An 11,730-nucleotide genomic window follows, 5' to 3' on the forward strand; every position below is an offset into this window, starting at 1 on the left:
GGGAGAGGGCCACATTTTACAACAACCAGGTCTCATGATAACCCACTTGCTATCATGAGGAAAGCACCAAGACATGAGAGAGCTGCCAGCACGACCCAAACACCTCCCACCAGGCCCCACCTCCAAAACTGGGTATTATAATTCAAGATGAGATTTGATGGGCACATATATCCAAACTATACCATTTTGTCCTTCCCCTTTCAATCTTAGGTCCTTCCCACATTGCAAAACACAATCATGCTTTCCCAACAATCCCTCAAAATCTTAATTCATTCCAGCATTAACTCCAAAGTGCAAAGTCTCATCTGAAAGACGGCAAGTACCTTCCACCTATAAGCCTGTAAAATCAAAGGCAAGTTATTTATTTCCAGGACAAAATGTAGGTATAGACACTGAGTAAATATTCCTGTTCCAAAAGGGAGAAATCTGCCAAAGGAAAGGGTGTATAGGCCCCACAAAAGTTTGAGACCCAGCAGGGTAGTAATTAAATCTTAAAGCTACAAAATAATCTCCTTCGACTCCATATCCTACATTCAGGGCACATTGGTGCAAAAGGTCAGCTCCCAAAACCTTGAGCAGCTCCATCTCTGTGGCTTTTCCATGCTGAGCTTGTAAGCTGCTGGGGGCTCTCTACTATTCTGTGGTGTGGAAGGTGGTGGACCCTTTCTAACATCTCCAATAGGCAGAGCTCCATGGGGGATTCTGTGTGGGGGCTCCAACTCCACATTTCTCCTTGGCAGTGCCCTGATAGAGGTTCTCTACAAGGGCTCTGTCCTTGCAGTAGGCTTCTTCCTGGGCACTCAGGGTTTTTCACACATTCTCTGAAATCTAGGTAGAGGCTTCCAACCCTTCACTCCTGCACTCTGCATGCCTGTAGGCTTAATACCACATGGAAGCTATCAAAGGCTTACATCTTGCACCCTGTCAAGTGACAGCCTGAACTGTATCTGGGGCCCTATGAGCTGAGGCTGGAGCTGGAAAGGTCTAGATGCAAGGAGCAGCCTCCTGGAGTGGTGCAGGGCAGTGGCACCCCAGGCCTGATTCTTGAATCCATTCAATCATCTTGGGCCTCTGGGCCTGTGATGAGAAAAGCTGCCTGGAAGATCTCTGAAATGCCTTCAAGGCCTTTTTCCCATTGTCTTGGCTATCAGCACCTGGCTCATTTTTAGTTATGCAGATCTCTCTAGCAAGTGGTTGCTCCATAGCCTGCTTGAATTTCTTTTCCAAAAAAGCTTTATCTTTCTCTGCCACATGGCCAGGCTGCAAATAATCCAAAGTTTTATGCTTTCCTTTTTGTTTAAATGTAAATTCCAACTTTCAGTCATTATTTGCTCTAACACCTGAGTGTAAGCCATTAGAAGCAGCCAGGCCACATATTGAAAGCTTTGCTGCTTAGAAATTATGTCCACTAGATACTGTAAGACATCATTCTCACGTCCAACCTTCCACAGATACCTATGGCATGAACACAATGCATCCAAGCTTTTTGCTAAGGCATAACATGTGTGACTTTTGCTCTAGTTCCTAATAAGTTCCTCATTTCTATCTGAACACTCATTAGCCTGGACTTTATAGTCCATATCTCTATCAACATTTTGATCACAACCATTTTACCAGCCCCTAAGAAGTTCCAAACTTTTCCTTATCTTCCTGTCTTCTTCCAGAGCCCTCCATACTTTTTTTCAACCTCTGTCCATTACCCAGTTCCAAAGCGGCTTCCACATTTTCATGTATTTTTATAGGAATGCCCAATTCCTCTGTACCAATTTTCTCTGTTAGGCCATTGTTATATTGCTATACATATATTTAAAAAAACCCTGAGACTGGAAAATTTATAAGAAAAGATATTTAATTGAGTCATGATTCTGCTGGTTATATAGAAAGCATCTGCTTCTAGGAAACTTATCATCATGGTGGAAGGCAAAGAGGGAGCAGGTATCTCACATGGTAGTAGGGGAGCCAGGGGGAAAGGGAGGGGAGGAGGTGCCACACTTTACAACAACAAGATCTCATAAAGACTCACTCGCTATCACAAGGACAGCACCAAACCATGAGGGATCTGCTCCCATGACACAAACACCTCTCACCAGGCCCTACTTCCATTATTGAGGATAAAAATTCAACATGAGATTTGGCAGAGATATATCCAAACTATAGCAATAGACATCCCTGTCAGCTTAAAAAAATGCTAGTAAACATGAGGCCCTACATATTGAGCTCTTTCTTTGATTTATAAGATAGCACTTGACTATTTTTGCCCCTTTCATCTTACTTTTCTTTCTTAATACAATGAGCCTATTGTCCCCTAGTGCTTGACCTGGATTTTTTCATAATTTTCCTCTATATCCATGTGTTATCTTATCCTAACCCAATGATTTAATTACAACCCACGTGTGGCCTACCTTCTTCCTTCATCATGACAGCCATATACTTGCACTCAGCTCTTGCTCATTCATTGACACATTCTAGAAAATTTATCTTCCACTAGTAGGCTGCATTTTCCTGTGGCAGCCATGCCCTATACAAAGAAGGCTACATCTTACACTGTGGGGCTCCTCTAAATTCCTTTCTTGCTCACTTTTCTTCAGCAGAGAGGTAGTAATTACCTTCTGCCCTTGAAATTATATTTTTTAATTATTTTAGTAACTTGTAACCTTTTAAATTAAAAATTCTTTACACTGGCCTGGCGCAGTGGCTCACGCCTGTAATCCCAAAACTTTGGGAGGCCAGGGTGGGCAGATCAGCTGAAGTCGGGAGTTGGAGACCAGCCTGACCAACATGAAGAAACCTTGTCTCTACTAAAAATACAAGAAATTAGCCAGGCATGGTGGCACATGCCTGTAATCCAAGCCACTCGGGAGGCTGAGGCAGGAGAATCGCTTGAACCCAGGAGGCAGAGGTTGCGGTGAGCCAAGATCGCGCCATTGGACTCCAGTCTGGGCAACAAGAGTGAAACTCTGTCTCAAAAAAAAAAAATTCTTTACACTAATTATCCTTCTTCAAATATCTGGTATGATTTCTGTCTCTGACTGATACAGGAACTCTCTTATGACTGATGTTTGATGTGGTATATATTTTCACTTTCAAACAATTCCTACATTTAGGGTACTTCTACTTTTTGTTCACTTATGTAGTATTTGTTTCTCTTTTGAATTAGTTTATTTAGATTTATTTATATCCACCATTCTTTACAGATTTTAAAAGAAATATTATTTTTAATGTATTTGGTGTTTTCTTATTAAGATTGTAGCAATAATCTTTGCTACATTCTCCATGTTATCTAGAAGTGGATCTTCTAACAACTTAACTGACCACAGTGCTATGGGAATCCCTCTCAAAGCCAACCCCTCATTTTTAGTCATAATATAAAACTTCATCATCTCTCAGTTTAATATTGTAGTAACTACTTAATTGGTTTATTTCTCATTCTCTACATAACTTAATCCACCACACTGCTGCCAAAATTATGTTTCTAGAAAGCAAATGTGATGATGTCACTCTTCCATTTGACAACTTCTGACACTTCTTGCTGAGAGGATAGACTGCATCTAGCCTTTCACAACTCCACCAAATAACTCTCTTCACTCTCCCTAATCAGTTGCTTCCCACTAAGTAGTCCTATTACTTAACCACACAGATTTTTTCTGCATGTCCCAAATATACAATCCATTCCTGTGAGATCTTGTTCTTTTCAATCTTGACACTAGATTTTGCAAGGAAACCCTCCTCAGCTTGATAACAAATGTTGTTCCAATTTCATATTATCTCTGAATCTATCCTTGAGTACCTTTAGTGTATTTAACTTCTAACTGTCCAACCATAATTTTTCAGATTTTAGCACTTTGATTCAGTGGTTCTCAAACTTTACCTTGCAGCGAAATCATCTGAAAGTTTTATTATAAATCAGTGAGCTGGGCCCCACCCCAGAGTTTCAAATTCCATAGATCTGGGGTAGTGCCAGATAATTTACATTTCAAACAAGTTTCTTGGTGATGCTACTACTGCTGGTCAGTGTTTTAAAAAATGGGACTGCATTTTTAAAAATACTGATCTAATGAATTTAGAAGACTCTTTCAATAGTTCAAGTAAAAGTTTACAGTAACTTCAATTAAACAATTTGTGGAAGAATTGGAAAATCGCAACGGTTCCTATCTCATCGATTTTATTTAATTTTATTAAATGTATTTTATAAATTAACTGAATAAAAGAGTTGAGAATATGAATAAGGCCACAGTAAAAGAAGAAGAGCAAACCAAAGGCAGTTTCACTTTTCCAGCTATATGTCCCTGAAATATCTTCTTGTATCTAATCCTAATGATCTGTAACAATAAAAAAGAAAACAGTTTCAAAAGGAAATTTTAGTAAAGTTTATTTTCAGCAATTAAGCAGCTTCACTGTGCCACAAACCAAGAGTATTTTACAAATTGTTTCATCATCATGACTGTGTGAAGCCTTGTATGTAGGTATTGGGATAATTACATTGGTTGTCAGGAATATAAATGCTTTTCAGATAAAGCCAATTTATAGGTAGATTTCAGGGTCTGTCGCATTTCAGTTGCCTAGTGTGATTCTTTGAAAACCTCAGCTTATTAGGAAGGAATGGCCCTTGCCATATGTGCAGCATTAAGAACATCTGGAAACACCATCAAAGCAAGAAATTTTTTACTTTCCACTGGCATGAAGAAGCCATTGGAAATTTCACAGATGTTTGAATCTCAGGATCCCTGGATAGTAGGAAATTGAAGCAGACTGCTGGCATTGACCAAGTGATTTCTCCTAGGAAATGCACCGCTACTCTATGGAGGAAAATGAGAAGTTGTTCCTAATGGGAATAAGTTCCTTGCTAAATAAAGTTATGACTGAATAATCTAATTTGTCATTGAATGTCATTGTAACATACACCAGGCTAAAATCATTAGTGCGCCCACAGTGGTTTCAATTAGAATCACATGAACAATAAAATGTTAGTAAAACCCATGCATTTCTTGGGTTTAATGCAATTTGGCATTTATCTTGATGATTTGGGGCATTACTTTATGTTCCAGGAATCCTATATCCAATTTGTCATTCTATCAAAATCATAATTACTCATTCTACGTTCATCACAAACTTAGTAAAGCCATTTTAAACTTGATTATATAATGACAGGTTCTCATCTAGAATTTAAGGATCATGTGCATGACTCTTATGTTTACTAAGCAATGTTTCTAAACTCCCTGGTAAAGATGCATCATATTGAAATCATTTGGGAATCTTTACCTATTTCGATTTTGCTAAAATACGTAAGGTCAGGACTCCATCCCTGATATTGGTAATTCCTCAGCTCTGCTCAGAGAAATTGGGGAATGCAGGGAAGATGGAATTAGCCATTTGCATGTAGAAATAGTTACTCAGGTGATTATGACAGTAGATTTAGTTAGAATCACCTGCTATAAATCCTCAGTACTAAAAGTGTGGTGCATAAACTAGCAGCATCTAAATCACCTGGAAACTTGCTAGAAATGCACATTCTCAGGCTCTGAAGCCTCATCTGCATTTTAAGGACAGGCCCAGGTGATCTGTTTTTACATGATATTTTCACATTAAACTACTGCTGTAAGAAAAAATATTGTCTTTAATGTGAAGCTAATTGTTTCTCATCTTATTTCATTTTGGTCCCTGAAAGCTAAAGCCCTAAAGTTAAATAAAAATGAGAGCAATATTTATGAGGATTATTAAAGTTTGTGGTACAAATGTTATATTTGCCATTGGACAAAAAGCCTTTGATGTTTAGAGAGCATAGTATTAGTGAGGCTACAAATTTTACCTCACAGTACGACTCAGAGAAATTCAGCTCCTTTGTCTGTTTCTTATCTACTGTACAGCACAATAAACATCTGCCAGGTTGAGGGAAAGAAAAAAATAGCTAATGATCCAATATGAATTATAATTTATGCTTTATTAAGTTAAATCTATTAAGAGACTTTTTATTCTCCCTTGTCTAAATATGCTCAGCCCTTTTCAGAGCTTGGCCTCTCCTCATTCTTCTTTCCTTAGAAAGCATCCATTCCTTTTATGCTGCCTTGTAGATATCAGGAGGTGATGGGGTTCTTGACTGAAATTATTCTGCCTCTACATGTGTCCCCAGGTCTCTGTATGTCTTTACCTCCTAAGTTATTTCCCCGGCTAGATTTCATGGTTAAAAGGTGAATAAAATTCAAATTATTTTCAGTTTTCTCAGAGTCCATAGCCTTCTTGGCTGCCTGAGATTCACCTCGGCTTTCCCTGATTACAATGTCTTTAATATGCCAATTATCTCCAAAGAATATTCTATAGAGATACTGTTTTGACAGTGAGTTTAGTCAAGCAAAAACTATGAATAATATTATGCACTAAAAAAATGAAATCTATCAAATTTACTTTACGATGCTAGCAAAATCCTAACGTTAAAATTTAATCTACATAGCTTTAAAATCACAATCTCATTTCTGAATATTGATATTTAATAATATTTTATGTGATATTAAAATTTTCCATAAAATGTTAGTAAAGAAAGTTAAATATTATATTAGAAGTATTGCCCACCATGACCAAGTCGAGTGTATCCCAAGGAAGCAGTGCTGACTAACATCAGCAAAACTGTATACCTAAGAAGAAATCAATCCTAAGACAAATTACCCAATTAAAAATTTGGCAAAGGATCTGAATAGACATTTCTCTAAAAATGATTTATAAATGATCAATAACAAATAAAAGGACACTAAACATTATTAGCCATCAGAGAAATGCAAATCAAAACCACAGAGAAATAACACTTCATACCTACTAATGTGGCCATAATAATATAGTTAGATAATAGCAAATATCAGTCAGGGTGAGAATAAATTAGTAATCTCATATACTTTTGGAGGAAATGTAAAAATGGTGCAGCAACTTTGAAAAATAGTCTGACAGCTCCTCAAAAAGTTAAACATGTAGTTACATAACACAGCAATTCCGCTCCTAGGTATTTTATTCAAGAGAAATGAACACAGAAAAATTTGTACATAAATGTTCATAGCAACATCACTCATATTAGCCAAAATGTTGAAACAACTCAAATGTCTATCAAATGAATAGATTCAATAAAATAGTACATCCATAAGGTGGAATATTATTCGACAATCGGAATTAATGAAGCACAATACATGGCACAATATGAATGAACCTAGAAAACATCATATATTCCACAGCTCAATTTAAATGAAATGCCCAGATTAGGTCAATCTATAGAGACAGAAAATAGATTAGTGGTTACCTAGGGCTAGGAGGTGGGAAGAAGGGGGTTTGGGATGAGGACATCTGGACGGAATAATGGGGAATGACTGTTAATAAGTACAGGGGTATATATATATATATATGTGTGTGTGTGTGTGTGTGTGTGTGTGTGTGCGCATGTTACAAAAAATTCTAAACTTAAACATCTAAAAATATTTGAAAATTAAAGCACTGTAAATAAACTAAAACCCATAAAATTGTACACTTTAAATAGGTGAATTTTGTGGTTTGTGAATTATATGGCAAAAAAGCTTAAACATTTACTTCAAGTTTAATGGAGAAAGTCTACATGAAAATTTCCATAGACTCTCAAAAGTCCACAATCATGATTTTTGAGAACTATTACCAAAAGGAAATTTCCTGGATCGGGCATGTAAGGAGCTTAGCCATTGCCACTCCATCCTAACAACAAGCAAAGAGCAGACCAAACTGAAGGATAAACAACACTTCTTAAATCCACTAGAGAAGTGTAGTCCCAGGGTAAACCATTGTCCCCAGAATTGGAGAGAAAGGCAAATATAGAGCACCACAACTGACTGCAACAAAAACCCATAAGCAGGAAAACCAGTGCCCAGGTAGGAAAATGTGAACTGTAATGTCAAATTGCTGGAGGCTCAGTGTAGACAAGTCAGAAAGTTAAAAACTTCAGGGGAATCCAGTCACAGAAGGGCCCTCACACTTTCATGAATTTTAACTCCAGGAGCTCAACCAGGTCCTTATGGTGAATATTTGAGAAAAATCTCCTTATGCCCCTGGCAGAGGGACAGGGAATGAGCAATTTTGAAATACATCAGCGCATTCTGTTCTTAGCAAGGCCTGATCTGAGGAGAAGCTGTTTTACCAGAGCTTGACCTGCTGGGATTTTTTTCAGATCTTGACCTAACTAGGGGAGGGAAAATACCCACCTCCATCAGGCTCTAGCCTTTCATGTGGAGAATGGGAAATAACAAACTCCAACCCCCTCTGGGCTTCCTTTCCCACCTAAAGCGGGAAGGATTAAGAAGCAGTTATGAAGTTTACCATCGGAGGGTACAGGTCTACAAAAGACTGAGACCTAATCACAGGACTGCAGAATGCTTCTTCTCCCCACAAACCTTACCATTACATTAATGAAGGCTTATTTACCATAGTTTCTTTTACCTAGTAAAAAATGTTCACCTTACAACAAAAAAATTAAAAGGCAGACTAAAATGCCAAAAATAAATAAATAAATAAATAAATAAATAAATAAATAAAACAAACAAAACCCATAATTTGAAGAGACTGAACAAACCTATGAACCAGGTAGAACATAACAAGACTGTTGACTATAGCAGACCAAATTTTTTTAAAGAAAAATCATCACTATGATGAATATGACAAAAGCATTAAAGGAAAAAGTAAACAGCAAAGTAACAGATAGATGATGTAAGCAAAGAGATGGACATTCTTAGAAATATTCAAAAGGAAATACCAGAGATTAAAAGCACTACAATGGAAATGAATAATGACTTTGGTAGGATCCGTAGTAAGCCGGACACAGTGGAAGAAAGAGCATCTGAGCTTGAGAACATGACAACAGATACCTCAAAAAGTAAAAAAAAAAAGACACTAAGAAAAAAATCCCAAAACAAAGAACAGAACTGATATCCAAGAACAGTGGGACAACTAAAAAAAGGTATAACATACAAAAAATAAAAATAAAAGAACAAGAAACTGAGAAATAAAAAAAGAAATACTTAAAGCTTGGACACACTGTCTCACATCTGTAATTTCATCATTTTGGGAGGCCTAGGAGGAAGAATTTCTTGAAACCAGGATTTCAAGACCAGCCTGGGCAATATAGCCAGACCTGATCTCTAAAAACAAAATAAAAAAATATTTTAAGCGATAATGACTGAGAATTTCCCTAATTTAATGTCAGACACCAAACCACAGAACCCAGAGGCTCACAGAATGCCAAAAAGGACAAATACTACCCCTAAAATTAAAGAAAAAAATCTATGTGTATAAATATTATATTCAAACTATAGAAAATTAAAGATAATAAAAAACAAGAAAAAAGAGTGAAAAAGTACTTTACCTATGGAAGATAAAAATTACATCTGACTTCTATACAGAAACCATGCAAGAAAACAGTGAAATGAAATATTTAAAGTACTGACAGAAAAAAATACACCTAGAATTATCTATCCTTTGAAATCATCCTTCAATTATGAAGGGAGACCAGATGTGGTAGCTCACAATTGTAATTCTAGCACTTGGGGATGCTGAGGCAGAAGGATTGCCTGAGACCAGGTGTTCAAGACCAGCCTCGGAAACATAGTAAGAACTCATCTCTATGAAAAACAAAAAAAGTAAGTTGGGTATGGTGGTGTGTGCCTGTAGTCTCAGCTAGTTGGGAGGCTGAGGCAAGAGTATTGCTTGGGCACAGGAGCTTGAGGCTGCAGTGAGCTATGATTGCATCACTGCACTCTAGCCAAGGTGACAGAGTAAGGCCCTGTCTCTGAAAATAAATATTCAGGGAAAAGAAAAATGTATAAAGATCAGAAACTAGGATCTAAATAAAGAACAGAAGAGCATAGGGAATAGTTGGAGGTTAAATGAAACTTCATTTTAAAAATTCTGGATTAAACTAACAGATAATTTGTTCAAATAATAGCAAAAATGTATTAGATTACATATGTTTATACATATATATACATATATGATATGCTTATTTAAAAATAAAATAAATGTTTCCAACGATACAAAGAGTGAAAGGAAAAATAAACGTATTTAGTTATTAAAAGCTTCTTTTTTTTTTACCCTGAAGTGTATAATGTGATTTGAAAGTGGGCTTGAATTAGTTGTAAATGTATATTGAAAGCTATAGGGTGACGACTAAAAAAAGTAAAAAAAAAAAATGTATAATTGATATGGTAAGAAATGAATGAAGTTGGGATAAGCTTAAATGTTAAATAAAAACTGCAAAAGACAGAAATAGTACAAAAGGCAAAAATAAGAACAAAGAACAGGGGGCATAGAATAGAAAATAGTAACAAATATGACAGGTATTAATTCAAGTATATTACTAATAAGTTTATACATCAGCAGTCTAAATACACCAATTGAAAGACAGAAAATGTCAGAGTGTATCCAAAAACAAGTCACAACTATAACTTGTTCATAATAAACAGACATTAAATACAAAAACACATACTGACCAAAAGTAAATGGATGGAGACAGATACAACACTAGTCAAAAGAAAGTGAGAGTAGCTATGTTAATTTCAGACAGAACCAACCTCAGAGCAAGGAAAGTTATCAGACATGAAAGGGCCAATACAAATAAAAGGCTCAACACTGCAAGAAGACATAATCCTTAATGCGGATGTGTCTTACCAAAGAACATCAAAATACGTAAGGCAAATATTGATGGAGTAGCAAGGAGTAAAAGATGAATTCACTCCTATGGTTGTAGACTTTAACAATCCTATCTTATATATAAAAAGCTCTAACAGCCAAAAAAAAAAAATCAGTAAGGACATTGTTGAATTCAAGAGCACTATTGATCAACTGGATAAAACTGACATCTATAGACTCCTTCATCAAATAACAGCAGATTACACATTCTTCACAAGCTCTCATGGAACAGTAACCATGACAGATTATATTCTGGGCCATAAAACATCCCTTAAAAATTTGAAAACAATAATAATGATACACTATCTGCTCTCCTACCACAGGACTTAAATTAGAAACCAGTAACAGAAAGACTGTGGAAAATCCTCAAATACTTGGAAATTAATCAACACACTTCTAAATAACACATGGGTCAAAAGAGAAATGTGGAAAAATTTAAAAAGATTTTGAAATAATGGAAAGTAAAATACAACTTATCAAAATTTGTGTAACGCAGTGAAAACTGCTTATGAGGAAATTTATAGAATTAAATATATATTCTTAGAAAATAAGAAAGCTATAAAATCCATAATCTAATATTCAACCTTAGGAAACTAGCAAAATAGGGCAAATTAAACCTAAAGTAAGCAGAAGAACATAAATAATAAAAATTAGAGCACAAATCAATAAAATTGAAAACAGTGAATCAGTAGATAAAGTCAACAAAACCAAAGCCTAGTTATTTGAAAAGATCAACAAAATCAATAAGCCTCAAGCCAGGATGACTAAGAAAAAAAAAAGAGAAAACACAAATTACTAATGTCAAAAATAAAAGAGGAAACATCATTACATACTCCACAGACATTAAAAGGATAATAAAGCAGTATTATGAATAACCATATGCTTACAAACTTGATAGCCTAGATGAAATGGACCAAATCCTTAAAAGACACCATCTGCCAAACTCAAACAGAAACAGGCAAATTAAAGGGTCCTGTATCTATTCAATAAATCGAATCAATTATTCATAACTTTCCAAAATAGAAAGCAACATGCCAAGTTAAGTGCACT

The 11,730-nt window shown here is 36.0% G+C and overlaps 1 annotated feature.

Annotated features, from left to right (window-relative positions):
* Positions 877-1,378: an enhancer, noted in NCBI's record as "NANOG hESC enhancer chr6:93175322-93175823 (GRCh37/hg19 assembly coordinates)". NCBI's record gives its function as "activates a minimal SCP1, AML or CMV promoter by ChIP-STARR-seq in primed H9 embryonic stem cells {active_cell/tissue: H9 hESC(primed)}" and the evidence as "EXISTENCE:reporter gene assay evidence [ECO:0000049][PMID:30033119]".

Source organism: Homo sapiens, chromosome 6 (assembly GCF_000001405.40).
Source record: "Homo sapiens chromosome 6, GRCh38.p14 Primary Assembly".
Classification (NCBI taxonomy): Eukaryota; Metazoa; Chordata; class Mammalia; order Primates; family Hominidae; genus Homo; species Homo sapiens.